At 58.3% G+C, this 22,429-nt stretch overlaps 2 protein-coding genes and 1 long non-coding RNA gene across 3 annotated transcripts, besides 11 other annotated features; 2 read left to right on the top strand and 1 right to left on the bottom strand.

The window, feature by feature from the left end:
* Positions 178–915, top strand: FREY1 (Frey regulator of sperm-oocyte fusion 1). The gene is made up of 3 exons (NM_001080446.3): positions 178–304; positions 507–580; positions 759–915. Exons 1-3 carry the CDS (start codon positions 204–206, stop codon positions 878–880), a joined length of 297 nt encoding a protein of 98 aa, NP_001073915.2. The 5' UTR covers positions 178–203; the 3' UTR covers positions 881–915.
* Positions 874–1,373: an enhancer, noted in NCBI's record as "H3K4me1 hESC enhancer chr11:45927627-45928126 (GRCh37/hg19 assembly coordinates)". NCBI's record gives its function as "activates a minimal SCP1, AML or CMV promoter by ChIP-STARR-seq in naive and primed H9 embryonic stem cells {active_cell/tissue: H9 hESC(naive and primed)}" and the evidence as "EXISTENCE:reporter gene assay evidence [ECO:0000049][PMID:30033119]".
* On the bottom strand, positions 984–21,798 carry MAPK8IP1 (mitogen-activated protein kinase 8 interacting protein 1). Its single transcript, NM_005456.4, has 12 exons — positions 21,528–21,798; positions 9,259–9,364; positions 6,997–7,311; positions 5,388–5,469; positions 4,265–5,077; positions 4,009–4,084; positions 3,288–3,460; positions 2,885–2,994; positions 2,615–2,731; positions 2,408–2,478; positions 2,200–2,298; positions 984–1,800 (listed from the first exon to the last, which is right to left on the bottom strand). Exons 1-12 carry the CDS (start codon positions 21,626–21,628, stop codon positions 1,728–1,730), a joined length of 2,136 nt encoding a protein of 711 aa, NP_005447.1. The 5' UTR covers positions 21,629–21,798; the 3' UTR covers positions 984–1,727.
* Positions 1,374–1,875: an enhancer, noted in NCBI's record as "H3K4me1 hESC enhancer chr11:45927125-45927626 (GRCh37/hg19 assembly coordinates)". NCBI's record gives its function as "activates a minimal SCP1, AML or CMV promoter by ChIP-STARR-seq in primed H9 embryonic stem cells {active_cell/tissue: H9 hESC(primed)}" and the evidence as "EXISTENCE:reporter gene assay evidence [ECO:0000049][PMID:30033119]".
* Positions 7,301–7,480: a silencer, noted in NCBI's record as "silent region_3291". NCBI's record gives its function as "represses an Ori minimal core promoter by ATAC-STARR-seq in GM12878 lymphoblastoid cells {active_cell/tissue: GM12878}" and the evidence as "EXISTENCE:reporter gene assay evidence [ECO:0000049][PMID:35858748]".
* Positions 7,301–7,671: a biological region, named in NCBI's record as "Sharpr-MPRA regulatory region 10000".
* Positions 7,377–7,671: an enhancer, noted in NCBI's record as "tiled region #10000; K562 Activating DNase unmatched - State 1:Tss, and HepG2 Activating DNase matched - State 4:PromP". NCBI's record gives its function as "activates a minimal TATA promoter and a strong SV40 promoter by Sharpr-MPRA in K562 cells, with weaker activation in HepG2 cells {active_cell/tissue: HepG2 | K562}" and the evidence as "EXISTENCE:reporter gene assay evidence [ECO:0000049][PMID:27701403]".
* Positions 7,757–8,051: a silencer, noted in NCBI's record as "tiled region #31; HepG2 Repressive non-DNase unmatched - State 4:PromP, and K562 Repressive non-DNase unmatched - State 4:PromP". NCBI's record gives its function as "represses a minimal TATA promoter and a strong SV40 promoter by Sharpr-MPRA in HepG2 and K562 cells {active_cell/tissue: HepG2 | K562}" and the evidence as "EXISTENCE:reporter gene assay evidence [ECO:0000049][PMID:27701403]".
* Positions 7,757–8,559: a biological region, named in NCBI's record as "Sharpr-MPRA regulatory region 31".
* Positions 7,890–8,559: an enhancer, noted in NCBI's record as "H3K4me1 hESC enhancer chr11:45920441-45921110 (GRCh37/hg19 assembly coordinates)". NCBI's record gives its function as "activates a minimal SCP1, AML or CMV promoter by ChIP-STARR-seq in naive and primed H9 embryonic stem cells {active_cell/tissue: H9 hESC(naive and primed)}" and the evidence as "EXISTENCE:reporter gene assay evidence [ECO:0000049][PMID:30033119]".
* LOC124902668 (uncharacterized) lies at positions 7,914–9,053 on the top strand. The gene is made up of 3 exons (XR_007062664.1): positions 7,914–7,997; positions 8,358–8,403; positions 8,978–9,053. It is a non-coding gene; the product is annotated as an uncharacterized LOC124902668 (long non-coding RNA).
* Positions 10,186–11,055: an enhancer, noted in NCBI's record as "H3K4me1 hESC enhancer chr11:45917945-45918814 (GRCh37/hg19 assembly coordinates)". NCBI's record gives its function as "activates a minimal SCP1, AML or CMV promoter by ChIP-STARR-seq in primed H9 embryonic stem cells {active_cell/tissue: H9 hESC(primed)}" and the evidence as "EXISTENCE:reporter gene assay evidence [ECO:0000049][PMID:30033119]".
* Positions 11,056–11,927: an enhancer, noted in NCBI's record as "H3K4me1 hESC enhancer chr11:45917073-45917944 (GRCh37/hg19 assembly coordinates)". NCBI's record gives its function as "activates a minimal SCP1, AML or CMV promoter by ChIP-STARR-seq in primed H9 embryonic stem cells {active_cell/tissue: H9 hESC(primed)}" and the evidence as "EXISTENCE:reporter gene assay evidence [ECO:0000049][PMID:30033119]".
* Positions 21,537–21,936: a silencer, noted in NCBI's record as "silent region_3290". NCBI's record gives its function as "represses an Ori minimal core promoter by ATAC-STARR-seq in GM12878 lymphoblastoid cells {active_cell/tissue: GM12878}" and the evidence as "EXISTENCE:reporter gene assay evidence [ECO:0000049][PMID:35858748]".

Here is a 22,429-nt window from a genome sequence, read left to right as displayed (position 1 = left end):
AGAACAAGATCGGGTTTGGCACCTATTAGCCAACAGCATCAATAAGAACAAAAACAAGCCTCGGGGGAGACTGCTGGCCCTGCCCCAGGGCAGGTGCTGACGCAGGCTTGGAATGAAGGCCCTTTGTGAGGTGGCCCTGGGAGCCGGCAACGGGTTCCGTCCTGCCAGCATAGGGACGACAGGAGCCAGGACCCGTGTAGGAGATGGTTCTCGCCATGCTGGGGGCTCTGCACCCCCGGGCTGGGCTCAGCCTCTTCCTCCACCTCATCCTGGCAGTGGCACTGCTTCGCTCCCAGCCTCTGAGGTGACTCCTGGGGCACAGAGGGCAGGGCACTTGGGCCGGATGGTGGAGGTGCTGCCCCTCCCCTCTCTGGAGTGGGGCTGGCCCTGGTACCCTGGGCGTTCGAGGGCTTGCCAAGTGCCCCCACACTGAGCCATCCCCCCATTCACAAGGAGGTGGCGGTGGCCTTCTGGGCCAGGGCTGAGCACCCCGACATCTCCCACAGGTCTCAGCGGTCTGTTCCTGAGGCATTTTCCGCCCCCCTGGAACTCTCGCAGCCACTTTCCGGCCTGGTGGATGGTAGTATCTCTCTTGTCCCCTTCCCCTACCCATCCCTGACAGTGGAGACGCCCCTAAGAGGTGCCCCAAGTCCAGCCTTCAGGGGCTTGTCATCCCAAACCACATCTGTTCAAGGGTGACTTCAGTTCCATCAGAGCCAGCTGCCCCCTACCACCCATGCCCTCTTTTCTCTCTTTAGACTATGGCATCCTCCCCAAGCACCCAAGGCCGCGAGGGCCTCGACCCCTCCTGTCTAGGGCCCAGCAGCGCAAGCGGGACGGGCCCGACCTTGCCGAGTATTACTATGATGCACACCTATGACCCAAGGCCCTCATAAAGATACCATGTGTGACAAAGGCTTGGCTTTCCTGGGCTGGGAGCGAGACGGGGACGGGAGGGGCCCATGCAGATACATCCACTGCAGTCCAGACAGGAAATGGCACTTTAATAGTTGGGGCCAGGGTGACAGGACCAAGATGGGGCTGGCCTGTGTCAGTCAGGAAGCCTCCCTCTTCTGCTGGGACAGGGCCTTGCGGCAGCTCCTCCTCCCCGCCTGAGGTCCTAGGCCTGCCACAGGCCAGCATGCCGGTGAGGTCAGTGGCAGGAGCCACCCAGAAGCCCCGCAGATGACGGAGCTGAGAACAGGGACTTCACCTCCACGTGTTGCCATTTCCTCACTGGAAAGTCCTTGGGAGGTGGCTGGGCTCAGCCTGAGCTCAGGGCTCTTCGGTGGGGGTTGGGGCAGGGGCAGGGCGGGCACTTGCAGGTGGCACAGGCTTCATCAAGGCAGGACACGGGCTTCATCAAGGCAGGAGCCACAGCGCCCGAGCCCTGGCAGGGGAGGTAAGGCCCAGGATGGGGCAGGGCCGTGTGCTCCTGGAACGGACATCCTTCTCTGCCAGAGACCTGCTCCCCAAGCCCTGTCCCTCCCAATCCCCAGGCAGCCCACTCTGCCCTCCATAGATGAATCTAATCCCATATATTACAATAAACTGCATTTGCCTCTCCCCATTGCCCCACCCTCCCCTACCCTGGGCCAGCGGCCCCCACTTCCTTGTCCTCTGGCGGTGGCAGGTGCCCCTCCTCAAGCAGTGCCACATCCTGTCAGCAGCCAGCTGTCCTGGCACTGGCCTGAGGGCTGGGGGACGCAGAGGGCGGGGCTGCACAGCTACTCCAGGTAGATATCTTCTGTGGGGCAGGTGTACTCCACAAACTGCTTGTAGAACTGCTGGAATGCTCTCCTAGAAGCCAGGGGACACACAGATGGCTCAGATCGCCACTGGCAAGGGAGGAACAGGATCCCGACCCAGGGTTTTCCCGCTGGAGCCTTGGGGCCCAAGTGCAGCTCTGGTTCCTCTGGCTGGGGCCACTTGGCTCTGTTCTCTACAGAATTGCCATCGCGTTTCCCAGTAAGATGTCAGTTGAAGACATGGCCCAACAGCTACCAAGCTTGGAAGCTGCTCCTCAGGCTCACCCTGCCGCGCCACCCTCCCTCCAGGCCACCCGCACTGGGGTCCGGAGATAGTTCTCCAGAGCTGCGGGGGAAACCGAGGGGCAAAGCTGAGCGCCAGGAAGCAGCCCCAGGGCCTGGGATTGGGCGTGCTCCCTCGGGCTGGGTGCTCAGCAGGGTGTACACGTACCCCACGGACTCTGCCAGGGCTTTGGTGGAGTCTTCAGACACAAAGACGTGGCAGGCAAACCGGTGGTCGGCGGGGTGCTTGGTGATGAACCCAAAGTACCTGCAGGGACAGGTCTGTCTGTGCTGGGACGGGGGCTCGGCCCACACCCACCCACCTCAAGGCTGCAGACCACCCGTGCCTCCTCCACTGCCATCCCACCCCCACTTACTTGTTGTTCTTTGGATGATATCCGCAGAAAGAGATGTTTTTTAACTGGAAAAAGTGGCTACATTTATTCCCCTACAGGAGGGAGAAAAGAAGCAAGAGGGCGGTCACCTGGCCTGCAGTGAGGGTGACAGGAGATGGCCTCTTCATCACAAGTCTTGGGGGAGAGCTTGGGGCCATGGAAGGAAGGGGCTGGGTTGGAAGAAGTCACCTTGGCCTCCTGGGAGTCATCGGCCTTGACGCCTATCTTCACACCCCGCACGCTGATCTCCAGGACACAGCTGGAGGGCGGGTTAAAGTGCACGGTGAGCCGGCGGGTGGTGGCAATCTACAGGTGACAAATGGAGCCACGTCAGCTGCTGTCTGTTCCTCTGCTGATCCCTCCTGTCCCAGGGCCTGAGCCCTTTACTGCCTCTAGACACCTGCGTCCCTCTGCCCCAGGGACCCATCCAAGGGAGGAGAAGGGAGAGGGCTCAGGTACCTTTTGCATAGCAGCACAGAGGACGTCATTGCCCTTGTGATAGGGAACCTGGACTGAGCCCAGGAACTTCACCCGGAACTGGTCCACCCAGTCACTGTTTTTGGCCAGGGCTGGAAAGCAAGCGTGAATTGAGGAGGGGCAGAAAGAGCAGGAGGGAGCTGAGCAGCCAAGTGAAGGAGGGTGGGTGAGGCACGGGGAATGGCAGAGCCCACAGAGGCTGCCACAATCCCTGGCTGCCCAACTTGGCCGGGCCTCACTTTGCTTGATCGTGAAAAGGACCTAAAATCACTTCCACTCAGCCCCCCACCTGGCTGGCTGAGATCTGGAGTACACGTTCACCTAGCAGCAAGTTGGGGCAGACAGATGTGGTGGCTGGGGGCACAGGCCAGGGAGGGAACACTACCTGCCATGTGCTCGGGCTCCTTGGTGACCTCGATGGCGTAATAGGCAGGAAAGACACCCCGGGCACCAGTGCGCATGTTGTAGGCCTCGTACCAGTAGTCTTCAGCCTGGAGCTCCACTAGCAGAGGGTCATCCACTTCCAGCTCAAGTTCGTCTTCGTGTCGAGGCACAAACCTGTCCCCAGCAAGGACAGGTGAGAAATTCGGCACCAAGGCCTGTCCAGCCAGGCCTACTCTGGGGTCTGGGAGCCACAGCAGCATCGTTATTTCAGTAAACATTTGCAAAAGCATCCTGTGTGCCTGTTGCAGTACTAACCCCAGGGGAGAGCAAGGTCAAGCAGACATGCATCTGCCATCGAGGAAACACAGGCCAAGGGAGGGTGTGGGCAGGGCCCCCTCTAAAATGGAGAGGCTGTGGGAAGCGCAGGCTTTTGTCTAGAGAAGGGTCAGGTGGGGTGTGGGCAGGCATCCTCCTGGTCACCCTCCTGGGTGCCCTGCCCCTGGCCAGACTAGGTGCACAGTTCTGGGATCCCTCACTGTAGCCATCCTCTTTGTCACCATACTCTGAGTCCCTAGAGAGTGGACACTGTCCTCCCAGGGCTGAGTGGATAAATGAAGGCTGATGGCAGGGGTTAGGCTGAGGCCATGTAGGGGTGACAAGTAGAGGGTGGTGTGTGGCCCAAACTGCTGCCTGGCTAGGCCCAGCCAGCCCATGGCTCTCACCTGAATATGGCCCGGTGGGTCTGCTCCTGCTCCTCCCCGTTGATGATGCAGGAGAACAGCCCGAAGGACTCAGCACCTGCAGGTGAGGTGGTGTGGCTGGATGGGGGGTCGCAGCTCTGATCCAGGTTTAGCGGGGCAGGTAGAAGCCTCAGTCCTAACCAGATGGGGCCTGGGGTCGCCTCCCAGAACACTTCGCATTTTGGCTCTGCCCCCGCTAGGGACCCCCCCACCCCACTGCTTCCCCTTGCTGACTCACTGGAGGAGCGGGAGCGGCCACTCATGAAGACGTTCAGGAATTTCTTGGAGAAATGGACGTCGGGTTCATCAGGCGTGGAGTCCTCGGAGAGGCAGGCAGGGGGCTGGGGCCGCGGGGCCTCCTCATATTCCTCTCCGATGGCCGACTCATAGGGCGAGGAGACGGAGGCACAGTTGTCATAGACGGTGGCAGAGTCACTCTCGTCACTGTAGTCTCCGAAGCACGGCCGCAGGCTCACCAGCTCCAGCTGTGCATGCTCATCTACCACCAGCGTGTACTTGACAGAGTCATAGGACAGGGCGCTGGTGTCCGAGCTCAGAGAGGCCCGTGGAGGTGGCGGCGGCTCCCCCAGGCTCCCCCGCCACCCTCCGCCTGGGGGCTCAGCCCGCTCTGGGGACGACAGGCAGTCGAAGCCCTCTTCCTCTTCACTGATGGAGGGGTGCGGCCGCCCTGCCGTGGAGGGGTAGGCGGCAGGGTCTGGATCGGAGCTGACTGACATCCGGCTCTCAGTGGGCGGCAGGAAGGCGGAGGTGGGCTCTGCAGCGTCTGGGGGCCTCTGCACTGGGGTCAGGTAGATCTCCTCAGTGGCCTCTAGTCGCACATCGGCCTGGTAGTGGATTCGGTCTCGATGCGAGTGGCCCCGACCCCCAGGCGGGGCAGCAGGGGGACCACCCGGAGGTGCCATCTGGGTGGCTGTGCTGCGGCGGCAAGGGCTGTCGGTGGAGGTGCCTCGATCTGTGGTGGGGGCGGGGCCGCTCTGGGGGGGCAGCTCATCGCTCAGGCAGATGTGTTCATGCGGTGGTGTCTGCTCCCCTGGAGAGCAGGCAGGTCATGAAGGCAGGGGCTCTCTCCCAACTCCCAGCTACCTGCACCTGCCACTCTCAGCTTGGTGACACAGAAACCAAGACAAAGCCTCCCTGGGCAACAGGCCCTTCGCAGGCTCTGGGGCCAGTCAACTCACTCATGCCACCACTGATCTCAGCCCCTGGATGGGCTCGTGCAGGGATGTGGGTGGGCAGTTCACCTCTACTCAGCCCTTTGGAGACTGTAGGGTTTGCTCTCTGTAGTGGGGACTGAGTCAGGGCAGGCGGAGGTCCAGGTAAGGAAGAGGGCCCTGACTTACCTGTCTTCAGGGGTGAGGATGATCGAGACACCCGATCCTGCCAACTGTGCTTTTTGCCCAGAGAATTATTATTCAGTGTGTCCTGTGCAGGGAACAAAAGGCTCTTGTGATGGAAGTGGTCAACAGTGCCCGGCACAGGGAGGCCCCGGCCCTGCCCCCTCAGGCCATCCCTAGGGCCATTTGCTGTGTCCACCCCGCCTCCACTGTCAAAGGCCTCACTCGTAACTCTCCTCTGGAGCAGGCAGGAAGGGTGGCAAGTCACAGCCAGGCTTGCCGGCTCTGGATGGCCCTCCGCCTTGCTCAGGGAAGCTGGCCAACCCTCAGGGAGATGCTCTTATCAGCCTTAACAAAGGTGGTGATGGCCAATGTGTGTGGTGGCAAGAGGGGGAGGAGGCAGGGGAGAAGAGAAGCAGGAGCTCTCTGGAGACACAGTCAGACCCCCAGTCCCAGGTACTGAGGGTTACTTGGAAAATGCTCAAATCCAGCCCAAGTCAGAGACAGGTGACTCTCTGCTCTGGAGCTTGGGAAGTTATGGCCTAGAAGGGGTGAGGACCTTCTGGTAGAGCCTGGAAAAAGCACAAGGAAGGGTCTCCCTAGCAGCTGGCCTGGGGGACCAGGATGAATCATCCCAGTGACAAATCCATAACAGAGTTTTCCTGCACCCCCCACCACAGTGGCATGAGACTGAGGAGTGACAGATGCAGTTGTCAGCAGCCCTCCTTCCTGGATCTCCTGGGCTGCCCATTCTACATTCTCAGCCCTGGGACCCCTCCCCACAATGCCCACACAGGGCTCCCTCCACTCCACGGAGGCTCCCTCCCCTGGGAGCTCTCTCCCAAGCCCTCACGTTCCTGAGCCGGGCTGCCAAAAGCCATTCACAGGATCCTGGGAAAGGGACCAAGCCTTTCCCCGCAGCCCCAGCCGCCCCACCTCCCAGGAGCTCCTTGCCTGCACCGCTCCCGATGGGCCTGGAAGACAAAGGGCCACAGCCAGCTCCCCCAACCCTATTCAACTCTCCTTGGCATCCAGCCACCCTCCCAGGGGCCCTAGGTCCCCAACTTAGCCAAGCAGCTCCATCTCCCATTCCTCCCCCCTGCCTTCTGGGAATTCGCAGCTGCCCAGATCTTAAACTGGCTGTGGCCCCTGAGCTTCCCATCCCCACCTCGCCACGATCTCCCACGGCCTCCCCCACGATGACCATTTCAGATGCCCTTTTCTCCAGGCCCTGCTCCTGCTCCACTTTCACCAGGAGCCCCATATCCTAAAGGAGAAACCCTGTCACAGCCTGAGGTCCCAGGCTCCAAACCCTTCGAACCCCTCAAAGCCTCATTCTCTTAATTCCCTACTCCTCTCCTAACCCCAGTCCTTCCCTCCTTCAATCCCGCCTCAAGGCTCCAAGCCCGGCCAGCTGGACTCAGCCCCCTCTTCGTAAGGATGGTTCTGCCCGCTCCTCGGATCCCAACACCGGGAGCGAGCCACCGCGGCCCCTATGCAGGCGCTGTCCCCAGGCACTGGACCCGTGGGTGCCCCTTCCCGCTGCAGCCCCTCTGCGCTCCCCCTCACATCTCCGCGGCGGCCCAGGGCGCCGCCCCCCACGTTGGCGCCTCACCTGAGACCGCGGCACCTGCGGAAAGAGGTTGAGCGTGGTGGGCCGCTTGGGCCGGTACGTGTCCCCGCTGCCCGGGCCCTGGCTCTGGCCTTGGCTCTGGCCCTGGCCGCGGGACGCCGGCTCCTGGCCGGACTCGGCCTTGGGCGGCCCCGCTCCCGGCCGCCGGGCCGCGCGCTCCTCGTCGTCGTCCTCCTCGTCGTCCTCGGCCCCGGGAGTGTCCCCCGTCGCGTCGATCAGGTCCATCTGCAGCATCTCGGCCTGCAACCGGCTCCCCGCGCCGCCGCCGCCCGCAGAGAGCAGCCCGGCGCGCGGGGGCTGCACAGCGCACGGAGGGGCGTCAGGGGGCGGGGCCGGGGCGGGGCCGAGGCCGCTTGCACCGCCCCCCGCCCGGGCGAGTCCATTCTGTGGCGCGAAGGGGGCACGAGGGGAGCCGAGCAGGGGCCGCCGGAGACTGGGGCGCTCTCGCCCGTCCGCCGCGAGGAAGCGCGAGGCCGCCGCCTCCCCGATCCAGCCGTGCCTCTGACGGCCAGCACCTCCCCACAGTCCCCACCCCGGACTCCTTGCGCCCTCCCGTTCCCCTGGCAACGGCCGGTGACCTCACCGGGGTTGTAAGCCGAGCCCAGAGTGAAGTCACCGCTGTTGCTATGGGGACTCAGTGGTCGCCAAGGAGTTCGGGGTGGGGTGGGCAAGGGATGGGGGTTGGGGAAATAGTATTTGAAGGGGTCTTGAGGAAAACTGGAAAAACTGAGGCTCAGCCAAGCAAGGAACGGCGGAGACCTGAGAGGGATGGGAAGGAGACGCCGAGGGGGAGGGGCGAGCGGGGGCCAGGAACCAAGGCGGTGGCAGCCGCGCCCTAAGCCAGCTGGCCCGGGGCCCCTCCAGCCCTAGATCGGTCCTCCACGAGCCTGCCTTGAGGATGCAGAGCCCCATCTAGCTCCAGTTCTGCCGCCAACTCCCTGGCACCTTGGACAGATCCCCTGATCCTTCAGGCCCCCTCATCAGTTGAGTGGGGATAACACTACTGCCTCCCAGCCTCTGAGAGAGCTGAGTATTCACTGGAACGTGTGTGAAGCCCGCTGGAGCTTGTCTGAGGCCCCTTAGGGGCACACCTCTGGCCAGTAGTGCCTGGGGCCCCTGCCTAGCTCGGAGGCAACCCTCTCCAAGGCTCTGCTGGTGCAGCTGGGGGAGAGGGCAGGGTGAGAGTCCAGAACAGGTGCCTGACCTCTGAGAAGCTAAGTCAGGGCTCTGAGACCATTCCCCAAATCTAGAGGCCTCTGCCTCTTCCTGGCCTGGCCAGAGAGTGGAAGGTTGGGGTACTGGGGACTAGGGGATTATCCTCACCCCTTGGTTTCCTCTTGCAGAGCTTACTGAGTCTCTGGGAGTAGCAGGAGGTCAACACAGAGACAGGTACTCCCTCCCCAAGGCACACCTCACGCTCCTATGGTAACCACTCTCCTGACACCGTATCTGGCTACCCGCCCTCTTGGGGGCTCAGAGGAGCTCTGGGCTCTAAAACCTAGCCCTGTGCTCTGTCCTCCATTTCCTGGCAAGCCGGCCCCTTCTTCCTGTTCTGAAAAGACATAGTTGGGATCCCCATCTGACCCCAGTTACCCAGGTGCTGGGGACCTCCTGGCAGCATTCAGATCTTTAGGGACAGGAGAGAGCCATCTTCCCTATGACAAAGCCAAGGGGCCCAAACCAGCAGCAATGCTGGGCAAACCCCTCAGTGGGGGCCTTTAGGACTATAGGCCAGAGAGGGTCTGGGAGGCCGCGTGGTGCCATCTGTCTGGTGTAATAGCAGCCAGCAGCCACAGGAGCTATTCCAGGGGTGCCTTGGCTGTTTCTTCCTGCCCTAAAGCACTGCAGATTCCACCAGACTCCACCCTGTCTGCCTCAGGCCCTCTGCCAGGGCTGCTCCCAAAAGGATTCAGGGGTAGCCCTGAGTCTCCCTTAAGTCTGGTCCTAATTGTTACTGCCCTAGGTCTCAAGACTTCCTGGCCTCTCCCATCTCGTGGGCAGTTGAAGGAGCTACTTCCTGTCTTAGTCCCCGACAGCAGTAATAATAATAATAATACCAAATGAAATTCTGATTGTACACTCAAGACGTGCCAAGCAGTATACCTATGTTTCTTGCACATCATTTCATTTCATGAGGGTGCCAGCACAGACCTGAAACCCCCTTTGTCACTATGGGGATACCCTTACCCCTGTCCCTAGCCTTCCTGCCACCCCACTCAGGAGCTCCTGGGAGCTTGCCCTTACCCGTAAGGACAGGGTGTCTTTGCACTGTAAGCTGATGCCACACTCATCAGTGATCTCCGAGAGGTCTTCATCCTCAAACTCCTCCAGGCTGATGTCATGGGTGAGCCTGGTGGGGACAGGAAGCCAAAGTTACAACTCAGGGGCACTATGCCTGCTCACATCTCCCTGTTACCTCTTCCAGGGTGCAGCCTCTTGAAGGCCAAACACAGCCCCCAGAGGACAGGATTTGGGGTTCATCTGTATCAATGCAGGGGGTGGTCAGCAGGCAGGGAAAGAGCGAGGGGCTTGTGCCAAAAGGCAGTCCTCCTAGGGTGGCAGTGGAAGAGGAGGCTCCAGGTCACTCTGGCTCCTCCCTGGAAGCTGTCATTCTGTTGCCAACCAGCAGGCAGTGCTTAGAAGGCCCAACTGGTCAGAGCCTCCTCCCAGGGTCAAGGCAGGTGCCAAGGCCAGTTCACCATGGAGAATGTGGACTTGAGAAGAGCAGCCTGGAGTAGGGGAGCTCCCAGTGCAATCCCTGCAGTAGCAAGACCCGAGGCGCCGGCAGCAGCCTCAGAGGAGTGCCCCACGCCCCAGCTCAGGAAGACTCATGCCCCTTGAGCCCAGGGAACAAGCGAAGGAAAATCTGGTGTCAGTGTGGGTAGTTTCAGCCTATTCCAGAAAGGACTCCAGCCTCATGCTGTGCACTTGGTGGTCTCATCTCTTCAACCACAACATCTTCTCCTTATCCAGTGTAAGGACCCTGAACAGGAGGCTGCACAGATGGGGTCAGGAGAAGCCCCAGGTGGGACCAGAGGTGTTACAACCTTGGGAGACAGCTCAGAGCACCAGGGCACCAGAATACTAACCAGCTCCACTAGAACCCCCCTCTCCCTAGGCCAGCCCTGAGTCCCCACCTCAGAATGCAGGGCTGGGCCAGCCACTGCAAGGCAGCCTGTCTCTTGCTCACCTCTAGGTCCTGGGCACTCTGCCTGGCTTGCTGGGGGGGTGGTGGGGGGGTAGAACATTTAGGAAGTTGGGGAGAATGTATGAGCCTTTTCCCAAATAAGTCCAAGAAATTGAGGCACAGAGCAAGGGAAACCCACTAGTTCAAGGTCACCCAGGAGAGATGGTGGCTTAGCCCCCAGGGGAACCTAGGAGGCCCAGACTCCCTGCCACTCGCCTCATTCAGATCAGAGACCCTGAGCTCGATGGAGCTCACCCCAACTCGGTCTCCACCCCCGCCAGCCCCGGTAGCCCCTACCAGCGCTCCCATTGATCCTCCAACCAGCTGTCATTGTCTGGGCTCGAATCCATCTTCAGCACCAGCTGCATGGAGAGCCCTGCCCGGCCGGGGGGCTGCGGGGCCCCAGGGCTGCCCTCTCATGCCCGGAAGGGTGGGGGGGCCAGGGCTCAAGGCAGGGCTGGGGGCCTCTGGCCTCCACCGCTTGGGCCTGTCTTTCTGCGTCCTGCCTGCTGCAGAAGCCTGGGGAGCTCATTAAAAATAGACAGGCCAGGAGAGGAGGCTGCAGCTGCCGACCCGGGTCCCAGCCCCAGCTCTTCCCAGCGCAGCCCTCAGCTGCAGGCACCTTCCTCCCGGCTGGCCTGGCCCTTGCGCTGCTGCCGCTGTGGCCGCCTCCCTCACGGGATCAGGTTACTGCAATCAATGCCACTGGCTCCACCTGCCCTTCCAATGCCCCTGTCGGGGGCTGAGTGGCCCCCCCTCCCTGGCCCAGGCTTGTAAGTAGATGGCAGAAATCTAGGATGTTTCCCCCCAAAAGCCAGCCCTTGGTTGGCTTTAAAGGGCCAGTTCCCCAGTCAGGGTGCCAGGTGGGAGATGAAGGGGGGCTTCCCAAACACCCTAAGAATGAACACTCGGTTTGCACTGCCATAGGCTCAGCCCCCCGACCTCATCAGAGAGGCTTCTGTGGGCCCAGGCTGCATCCAAACTGGGTTTGATCTGGGCTGCCTCCTTCTGCAGCCAGAGCTTGAGCCTTCAGGACCCAGGAAGGCAGGGCCTATGGAAGCAGGAGGCACCAGAGCCACAGCTAAGGGCAGGCCAGTGTTTGGGCCCTTAGAGCAGAGCTGGAAGGGCTGCTGTGTGGTAATGAGCTTCCTCTCCCTTTGGAATGACATAAACAGAACCTGGAGGCCCCTGGAGGGCACTGCACAGAGGGGTGGGGAATGGGGGCTGGATGGACAAGGTGCCCTGTAGGGTCACGTCTGACCTGCAGCCCAAGGGTGGTGGTTCCCCAGGCCATGGGGAGGGTGTGGCTGGCCAGCTGGGGTGGAAGTGGGGAGGAGGGCCTGGCCCAGAAGCCAGAGCAGCCCTCCTCCGTCCGGCCAGGGCAGGGTGGCATCTCAGGCTCAGGGACAAAAACCCAGTGGCCAGCACCAAGTAAGTGTTCAATTCACACTGGTTGCCCAGATGGTCACCGAGAAGGCCAGTGGTGCAAAAGGGAGCCCCTGGTACTCAGATGGCATGGGAGAGCTGCAGGACCGCTGACCCAGAGGTGCCCTGAAATGCCCCTGCTCTGCCAGTGACCTCTGCACATATATATATATATATATATATATATATTTTTTTTTTTTTTTGAGACGGCCTTTCGCTCTGTCACCCAGGCTGGAGAGCAATGACATGATCTTGGCTCACCGCAGCCTCTGCCACCTGGGTTCAAGTGATTCTCCTGCCTCAGCCTCTTGAGTAGCTGGGATTGCAGGTGTGCATCACCATACCTGGTTAATTTTTGTATTTTTAGTAGAGACAGGGTTTCACCATGTTGGCCAGGCTAGTCTTGAACTCCTGACCTCAGGTGATCTGCTCGCCTCGGCTTCTCAAAGTGCTGGGATTGCAGGCGTGAGCCATGGTGCCCAGCCCCCCTGCACACATCTGTGTCTCCTCACACATGGCTCCGCTTCCTCACTGCCAAGCCCTAGTCCAGCTCCTGCCTCTGCCCTCCCAGATGTCCCCACTGGCCTGTCTGTCTCAGTCTCCCTATGCCTGCACCATCCCACTCCACCTGCCACTATCAGGCAAAACTGCCAGAAATGCCATCATCCCTCCCGCCCCACTTGGAACCCTCAAGGCTCTCCACTAGCAGCAGGTTCCTGTGCCTGCAGGCAAGGCCTCCAGCTCCATGCGTAGTCTGCGTGGGCACTGTGTCTCCCCAGTGCCAAACCCAGTGCTCAGAGGGAGCACGTGGCAGACTCTCAAACCATGCTTGCTGGAAGAGTGCTCAGTTAAGCTCATTCTTCCAGGAAGCCCTCCCAGCCCTTGCATGTGGCTGATGTCACCATCTGCCTGGATGTACAGTAGTGTGTGCAGCAGACAGGGCCAGCCCTCCCTCAGAAACACCCACTTCCCACCCCCTGGCTGCTCCAAAGGTGGATGGGGCCTGTATCCAGCACCCTGATTGATGACCCTATACTGTACCCAGCAGGTGATCAAGACCCCTTCCTCCCCTTGCTCCTGGAGGGCAGAGCTGGCGAGTTCATCCTGCATACACTGAGTCCTCAGCATGAGCCTGCTAGATGTCTGTCACAGGACAGCCTCTGCCTCCACCTGCTCCTCTCGAACTGCAGGCTGGAGCAGGGCCTGCAGGGTCTGGCTTAGACCTGGGTTAGAGGCTTCTCAGTTCACTTCTACACCCTCAACATCACCTGATATTCCCACTTCCTTGGACAATAGGTCTGGGTGGGGCAAGGACAGCAGCATTCTTCCTGTACAGCTGAGGGCACTGGGCTTTAATTGGGCAATGCTAGAAAGAATACTGGGCTGGGGGTCAGAGAGCCTATGCCTGATCCCTGGCTCTACTGGGGTGGGTTAAGGGGGATGCTTTGTCTGACTTTTTAGGTGCCTCTCATAAGTAAGGCAGGATGGAAGAATGATCACCATATCAGGCTTGGAAGCAGGAGGCCTGAAATAAATCCTGACTCTTTCACGTTGAAGCTGCCCCATCTTGGCCCCAACATTTATGCCATGCATCTCTCTTAATCCTCATTGCAACAACCTTGGGAGAGGGTTTGTTCCATTTTTCCCATTTTACAGATGAGGAACACTAAGGCTTAGACATAAAGGTGCCTTATGCTTCAGCTTCCCAGATACAGGATGAAGCCACCAATCCCTGCCCACCCACCTCAGAGGGCTGGTGAGGGTTAGCAGAATGGAATTTGTGTGAGTAGGAGGTCACTACCAAGGATCAAGGGGGACTGATTGGTCAAAGAGTACCCTGTGCAAGTCACCCCCCATCCAAGACTCTGCCCTTTCCTCTTTTCCAGGCACCAGATGTTCTGGCCTCCCAGCTAAAACCCTGGGGGGTCCCTTTATGGAGAGAAGGCTAAACAGACACTTGGTCCCTGAAGGCTCATGGAAGGTCAATGTGGGGAAGGGAGGGAAAGGAGGAGGGAGGAAAAGATGGAGGGGAGAAGGGAGGGGAAGAAGGGGAAAAGAGGGCGGTTCCCTCCTGTCCCGCCTGATCCACCCTGCTCATGGCAGCCTTAGCACCAGGAGGCCTCCAAACTGAATCCTACGGCCCTCCGCAGGCCGGCCTCCCTCACCTCTGGGTCTGGAAGTTTCAGCAGTCTCCTGTAGAAGCAGCCCCTGCCCACCCATCAGACCTGCTTGTCTATCCTGGATGCTGTGATCCTTGAGACGTCATCCATATTAACGTTTGGTGGCTCTGAGCTGTGAGTTTGGTCTCTGGAGACCGCCCTGACCTTTCTACCTGAGGCCCTGTTCCTGCATTCACCTGATCCCTCCTACTCTGCTGCCCCAGTCCTTGCTTTTGCCCTGCCAGCTCCTCACTGTTCTCGCCATACCAGCTCCTGCTCCCACCCCACCCTGAGCTGCACTTTTCTAAATGGCCCTGAACAAACATGCCTTTTGTGTTCTGATGTTGATTTCAGGCCCTTTTCCCCTGCCTTGCTGGGTCACATTTCCACCAACCACAGTCCTGCCCTTTCTAACGGACTATTTCAGCTCCGTAGTAGGCTGAGTTAGAAGTGTATGTAAAGCAAAGGTTAAGTGGTAAAGTGCTGAGGCTTTAGCTGAGCAAGGCCAAATCTGAGCCAGGCATTGGCTGTTCAGATGTCATTCTTGGGCCTTTGTGTTCCTGGCTGTGCTGTGGTGAGGAGGTAAGGATGCCAGCTGATTGACCTTGGGTCCTGGCCACAATGCCCCACAAGCCTCTCTTGTGACAGAGGGCACGTGTGGTCCAGGGATCCAGCCTGCCTCTTTGCAGCCCTCTAAGTGCTGAGAACGAAGCTGGCTCCCAGTGAGTTCTCAGGACACCTGTTGACTGGCCGCTCAACCCTAAGTGGGTTCCCCATTTCCCTCTGGTTCCTCTACCAGCCACTCTCCACCAGGTAATGACAGCAAAGCTGACCTCTGAATTACAAATCTGGTCTGGTCACTCTTCCCAGCTCAAAGCCCTTTAATAGCTTCCCCTGGTCCTTAGGAGAAGGGGCCCAAATTCTCATCTGTGGCCTGAAGGCTCTGTAAAGCCTCCTTTCCCTCCAACCAGTATCATTTCCCTTCATTCCCCCCACCTCCCACCTTTATCTCCTCCTTCAATAGCGCAGCTCCCAAAGCAGTAGCATGGTCTCCTCTGCAAGCCTTCTCTGACCTCTGGGACCAAGCCAAACCGCCCTGCTATGGGCTCTCGGAGTCCCTCCTGGCTGTGGTTCCGTATCACTGTAATTTTACCTTTGGGTTATGCGGCCCGCGGTGGCCTCCCCTTGGAGTCAGTTAATCCATATGGGTGGGATCATATCTGTTTTGATCAACATGTGTGGTGCCTAATAGGTACTTGACAAATGCTGAATGAATTAACCACAGGTGTCCCAGGGCTCTCTGGATTTTTGCCTTGGAAATCTCTAAGTTAGTCCACTTTTCCAATCAACTTCCTGTGTCCCCACCTACACCAGAGTCTGGGCTAGGATGTCAGGTCCTCTGGGAAGACGGTGCTGGCTGAAACGGTGGGGTGGGGATGAGCCAGACCCAGCATCCCTCTCAGGCCCTCGCTCTACCCCCACCACCTGGCTCTGGGTGAACATGGGGTTGGGCTGGGTTTGTTCTTTGGGTCAGAATTCCCTTCCTGACCACCTCCATACGGAGGTCATCTCCAACGAAAACTGAATCCAACCAAAGAAATGAGCCCCGAGGGACAACCCCACTTGCGGTTATAACATGTTTGATCTGTTTAAACATCTTCATGCTGATACATTGCAAGAACTCTGGGATCCAGTTGTTCGACTTTTGGGAAACTGCTTCGAGGAAACAATCCCACATTGTTTGGAGAAGAACTGTTACACACAGGATGTTCATTCCTCATCACAGCAAACAACTGAAAACACCTGCGTCACCCAGCACCAGGGGGCTGGTTCCATCGTGGCCATCAGCAGATGAAATGTGATGCAGTCTTTTGGAATCAACATTATAAAGTCTGTGTATTAAGGTGACAACTAATAAAATGAGCAAAAAGACAGCATATATGATCCAGTGGTCTCCCCAGGATGATATTGCACACAGGAAGAAACACTCACATGGACACAGAGTTGTGAGATGGGGTAGAATCTGGGGCGCTCTTTTCTCCTTTGCTGTCCTTCACAGACTTTCATCTTGGGTCATGCCAGCCTAGCATGGGCTCCCCGTCTGCTGCTGGGCTGCCTGCCCTCCCCAGAGCTGCAAGTTTCCTGAGGGCAGGGTCATCATACTCACCTGGGCACTGACTCCCCACCTTTGCTCCAATCTATGCACAAAGCCCAAAACCCTGCACACCATAGGTGCTAAATCAGTGCCTATTAAAGAGGCACTGCAAGCAACATGACAGCAGGAGCCATGAGCTCTCCACTGGCATCTCCAGTGGCGGAACAAGGCAAAGCACCCAGAGACGCTCCTGCTATTTTGGAATGAATACAAGAGTGGGGCCAGGGAACAAAGATGGCATCATAGAATGATTAAGAACTACGTGTGGATGGTGGCTGTGACCCAATTTGTGGGAACCATGGGGGCCCCAAGCTAGAAGTGTGTTGTGGCCCATTTCCAGCAATCCAGAGACGAACTTTAAAGCTCTGCCATCAGCGAGCTGGGGTTGAAATTCTGCCCTGGCCACTGCCGGACTGTGTGAGGCAAGTCAACACTCTCTGCCTCCACATCCAAGGTCCATCAGGAGCCAGGCCAAGGCGGTCCTGGGCATGAGGCAGCTCCAGCAGCACCTCCCCACCTCCACCGAAACATGGTTGGCTGAACAGGCCACCGGCCAGCCATCTTCCTGCCCTCTGCTCAGTCTCCCTGGACAGTGATGTCCTCTCTGAGGCTTCAGTGGCCATCCCTCCAAACTCAGACTCCCAGGGTCTTTGGCCCCAGCCCTATCCTCTCCTCTGAGCTCCAGACCCAAAACCGACTGACTGTATGATTCCTCCAATTGGGTCCTCCAATGATCCCCAGTCTCAAATTCAGCAGGTTCCCACATGATTTTCACACCCTGCCCACCGCCCTCTGGTCTCCCACTGGACACCCCACCCACCAAGGAGCCCCAGCATCATCCTAGACTCCTGCCTCCCCACTCCCTATTCTGTATCCCTCACCAAGCAGGCTAATCTGCCCCCTAACTCTTCCTCACACCCTGAACCTGTCCCTCCTTCTTACCAGCAGGATGGCTAGTCCCCTGGCCGCTCTCTACCCAGCAGCCAGGTGATCCTCCTAGAACAAGCTTGTCTAACCCATGGCCCATGGGTGCGTGAGCCCCAGGATGGCTCTGAATGTGGCCCAACACAAATTCATAAACTTTTTTGAAACATTATGAGATGTTTTTGTGTTTTAGCTCATCAGCTATCGTTAGTGTTAGTGTATTTTACGTGTGGCCCAAGATAATTTTTCTTCCATGTGGCCCAGGGAAGCCAAAAGATTGGACACCCCTGTCCTAGAGGATCTGTCTGACCCTGTCATTCCTTTCCTAACCCCCTGCCAGCTCCTCTGGCTGTTGGTGAAGAGGTCGGCATCGTCACATGGCCTACAAGTTCCTGCACATCCTGCTCTCCACCCTCCTGCCAGACTGGGCACCAGACACCCTGCCCACCCGCTCTGGTCTCCGCCCTTCACTCCAGTGACACCCTTGGGTGATATTTTTATGCGTCCACCAGGCCTAAGCTGAAATGTCCCTGCCTCTGGGGGGCCTGTCTAGACCCGCTGAGCCTGGGTCCCTTGACCTGAGCCATCATCACACCGACCAGCCCATCTGTAAAGCCGTCTGTCTGTCTGTCTCCCCTCTACAACACCAATAGCATGATGGCCAGGCCCACGTCTGGGCCTTTGCAGTGTTTCCCTGGTGACCTAGGCAAAGTGCAAACGTTTGTTGAGTGAATGAAGGAAGAAGCCTCTCGGTGGCCCCATCTCTCATCCCTGAGGCAGGGTGCTGGGGCAGATGGCAACCATCCAGGCAGCCATGGCCTGGCTCTATCCCAGCTTTGCCACTAATTTGCTGTGTGCTCTTGGGGGAGCCACTCGCCCTCTCTTGTTTCCTCATAAGGGGAGGGAGCTGGTTGGACGAGCTGGTCTCTAAGGTCTCTCAGATCCACGATTCCCCTTCTACACACCCCAGACAGGCCGCTCGCTCCCTTCTTGTCCATGAAACCCCCTTTGTCTCTGCTGTTCCTCCCACGTGAACTGTCCTTCTGCCCCTCCTCTTTGTCCCACCTACCCAGTGCCAATGTCTCCACTGTGTAAATTTCTAAATTCTCTTTTCTAGAGTTTTCTTTATAATGAACATGTATCACTTTAATTTTGAATTTTCTTTTATTATTTTGTAAGACACAGAAGTAACCTATACTCATTATAAAATAAGAAGTCAAATACAGGTGAGCAGCCCTAATCCAAAAACCTGAAATCTGAAATGCTCCAAAATCCTAAATGTTTGAGCACCAACATAACAGCACAGGCTGTAAATTCCACACCTGACTCCACATGACAGGTTGTAATCAAAACTTTGTTTCATGCACACAATTATTTAAATTATTGTATAAAATTACCTTGAGGCTATATGTATAAGATATATAAGAAAAAATCAATTTCATTTTTAGACTTGGGTTCCCATCCCCAAGCTATTTCGTTATGCATATGCAAATATTCCAAAATCCAAAAAAATTAGAAATCTGAAACACTTCTGGTCCAAAGCATGTCAGATCAGGCATACTCAACCTGTAATATAAAAGTATGACACTGGGCGTGGTGGCTCGAGCCTGTAATTCCAGCACTTTGGGAGGCTGAGATGGGTGGATCACCTGAGGTCAGGAGTTCAAGACCAGCCTGGCCAACATGTTGAAACCCCGTCTCTACTAAAAATACAAAAATTAGCCGGGCGTGGTGGTGGGCACCTGTAATCCCAGCTACTTGGGAAGCTGAGGCAGGAGAACCGCTTGAACCCAGAATACAGAGGTTGCAGTGAGCTTAGATCATGCCACTGCACTCCAACCTCCAGCCTGGGCGACAGAGTGAGACTCTGTCTCAAAAAAAAAAAGTATGTAAAATAAGAAGTAAAAATCCCTCACCCCATACCATACCCAAAGGTAACCAACCACTATAAACAGCTGGAGCTATAATCAGAACAAAAATTAACACGTATTTAACCTACCACAAACAAACGAATGCTCCCACCCCTTCAGGTCAGGTCCACATGCTCGCCCCCTCCGCACATGCTCTTCCAATACTCTAGGGCTCTTTCTTTTTGGGGTGGCTCTGACATCAGACTGCCTGCCACTTACAAGCTCTGCCACTTACCTAACCTCCCTCTGCCTCAGTTTCTTCATGCAAGTGTGGATAATAACAACGCTCTGTTGATACAGTTATTGGGAGGAGTAAATACTCTTGCACATAGGAAACTCTTAGAATGGTGCCTGGGCGAACTGAGTGCCTTCCAAATGTCAGCGCTTACCACTGTTATTGAGTAACTATCCCGTGCTGAGCAATGGGGATACCAAAGTTTGGGTACAGACCCCCTTTATTTTCTGGGAGCTGACAGTGGCACTGGGGGTCAAGGCGCCTGTGTGTGTGTGCACACACACAGCCCTGCCTACAGGCGGCTCTCCTCAGCCCTTGAAACACTCAACACGTGTTATCTCATCTGATTCTTAGGACCATCCTGAGCAGGGGCCAGTGCTGGCATCTCAGAGGCTCAGAGGGCTTAAGTGCCCAGTGTCAGGGCACACAGGTAAGAAGGGCCAGCCAGGATTCAAACCCAGGCCAGTTGGATCTATGACTCCACCAAAGAGCCACAAGAAAGCACTATCTACCCACCCAGGGTTAAGTGGAGCCTGGCCAAGCACAGTGAGAGGCGGGCCAGGAGAAAGGGCAGCGGGGGCTTTGGGAGCAGCGGGGCAGGCCGGCAGGGCCTGAGACACTGACGCTTATTATTCCCACGCACTGGCCTTGTCTCCGCAGCCAGGCCACCATGTTCTGGAGTGCTGGCCCACACCTCAGCCTCGTGGCCTACTGCCACCCTTGTCCCACATGCCGCAGAGCTGGCCACACATTCACTGGCTGGTGTCTGCTTCCTCAGCTCCTCTCATTAAAGCATCTATGACACCTGGGGAAGCAGGTCGAGGAAGAAAAGCTGCCCACTGGGCCAGAGGCAGGGCTGGGACGTAGAGTGGACTAAACACGCACAGACCTGGGTCCCAGTGTAGCCTTAGTCTCTGACTCTTTTGTAGTCTCCAGATGAGCCACCCTGCCTTTGTTAATCTCAATCACCTCATCTATAAAATGGGCAGGTCACTACCCTCTCTTGGGGCAGTTATGAGGGTTAAAGGAGGGGCCTTGGGAAGACACTCTGGACAGCAGCGAGCCGTAGTGTTGTCTGCTAGTGTGGGGGCTGACACTTGTTGAACACTGACCTGATGTGCTTTTTCTCCTTTCCAGGCAAGAATCAATATTAATTAGCCCACTTAACAGATGGCACCCAGAGAGGACAAAAACCTGCCTGGGTCATGCAGTTAGAAAGTAGTGGAGCTAGGATTTGAACCCAGGTCCCTCTAAGCCCCATGTGCTTCCACTGCAGAGGCCTCCAGGTGGGGAGGCAGTATTTGCATGGAGGCCTCATGCACCATGCCAGGTGGAGTCTCAGACCTCAGTCTAAGGCATTATCAGAGAGCTGCAGCCCTGGAGCCTTCAGGCCTGGCCTCCTCCATCTGGCCCCCTCTGGTCCTTCCAGCTCAGCTCAGGGCCTCAGGGAAGGTTTCTGAGTTTGATGATGCTATTAGAGATCCCCAGGGGTCTCTGCCCACCTGAGGACCTGGGAGCCAGTGACCCCTTGCTCCCAGGAGGGGCTGGCACCACAGCCCAGCTGGAGCCTGGCTGGGGTGGTGCCCCAGGAGAGGGGAAGGCGCCAGTTCTCGAGATGGGGAAACAATGGGGTATGTCTAAGCCTCCCTCTCTAGGCCGGGAGCAGTGACTTCGGCCTCTTCCTCCCCACCAACTAGGGTTCAGAATTATGGGGGAGGTACATCTATTCCTCCTCCACACAACACTCACCCCTCACTTCTCTGAAATGCATCGGGCCTAACACCAGATTGGGGGGTGGGGGTGGTGGAATAGGAGCTCAGGTCAGGGTTCTGGGTATTTACCCCAGCAGGGATCCCCTCGACACCCTCGCTGGCCCTGGCTACTCCAGAGCCGAGCCGACTTCCCTTCCCGCAGCCGGGCCTAGGATTCCCCTGGTTGAGGCTGAGCCTTCAGCGCCTGCCCTGAGAGACACACCTGCCTAGGTCGGTGCTGCCCAATCCAGAGAGGGGCCCGGCCACGCCAGGCCTGGCAGGTAGGCCCATCTGGCCAGGCAGGGCTCGGGGAGGGGCTCAAACATCCTCCTCCCAGCACCAACAATGTCGTTGCCCCAGGAAACTGCGACCCGCGCCCCTCCAGGCTGTTCCCAGCTCTATTCACAGGCTAAGATGCAGCCTGCCTGCCCGCTCCGGGATCGCAACCCCGACCCCAGACCCTGCCGCAGCCCGGAGGTTGGGGAGAAGGAGGCCTCCGAGCCCCCTCCTCCAATTCCAGCGCAGACCTCCCAGCCTAGGACCAGGAATGGCGGAGGGAACAGCCTCGTGAACATGCAACGGCTACCAGTCCGGACTTGAGGCTGGCGGGGCTTCTGAGGGGGGCTCTGTCCCGGGAAGAGACCCCACTCCCACGCAGCCCTTTCGTTCCCGGGTTCCCGAGGTTCTGGGGTGGGGGGCGGGCAGGGCAGCCAATGCGGATCAGTCCCCGCTGAAGGGCGAGGCGCGCGGCGGCCGGGGACTCTCACCTGAAATTGGGAGGCGAAGCGATGTGCAGCCCCAGGAACGGGGAGGCGGCGGGCGGGGACGCGGCCCCCCCTCCCAGGCCGCCGCTTTCTCGCTCCGCCATTCTCGGGCACAGCCCTGGCCATCCGGGCGGAGCGCGGCGCGGAGGAGGCGGCGGCTGCGAAGGAGGCGGAGGCGCGGCGAGAGGGCAGCCGCCGCCGCGGAGTTCGGGCTAGGCGGGCGCACCTGTGTCTGGCAGGGCGCGGCACAGCACCGCGCACGGCCCGCGGGACTGGCGAGAGCGCCCCGCGCGCGCCCCCGGGACCCGGCCGGGGTCTCGCGCGCCCCGCCCAGGCCCCGCCCCCACCCCGCCAGCCCCGCCCCCGGAGATGGCGCTCTCCGCGGTGCTGAAGCCACGGCCCCCGCGGCCCTGGGCTTGGTTCAGCCCCGCCCTAAATCCGACATCGACTCTCCTCCACCCCGTGGCCGGTGTGGGCTTTGTCCCTCCGGTTGGGCTTAGTGCCCGGGTATCAGATGACTAATGGCAGGACACTGGACCCCAAGGTCCAGGTTGGCCCCCCGCAGCAGAGACCAAGAAGGCAGGCGGAAAAGGAGGGTCGTGGAGGAAGGCAGAGAAAGGAGAGGATGTCAGTGGGCTCTTAAAGTGTACAGGTTTGGAGTCAGGTGGTGTGAATTCACTGGCTCCACAAGTGACTGGGCAGTGGGGCCTTGCATTAGTGACTTCAGAGCACTAAGGTTTGGTCTTCTTATCTGTGAAATGGGACAATAGCAGTCCCTCTCATGGTTGTTGTGAGAATGTAACGTAACACAAATGTGTTGCCTGAGACCCAGAAACACTCCACCTCCTGCGCTGGGATCCAGCCCTCACCCCAGTCCTGTCCCTTTACCTTGAGGGGACCCTCCC

This window comes from Homo sapiens, chromosome 11 (genome assembly GCF_000001405.40).
Source record: "Homo sapiens chromosome 11, GRCh38.p14 Primary Assembly".
In the NCBI taxonomy this organism is placed as follows: domain Eukaryota; kingdom Metazoa; phylum Chordata; class Mammalia; order Primates; family Hominidae; genus Homo; species Homo sapiens.
The sequence above is the reverse complement of the archived record's forward strand: the minus strand, read 5'-3'. Positions and strand labels throughout refer to the sequence as shown.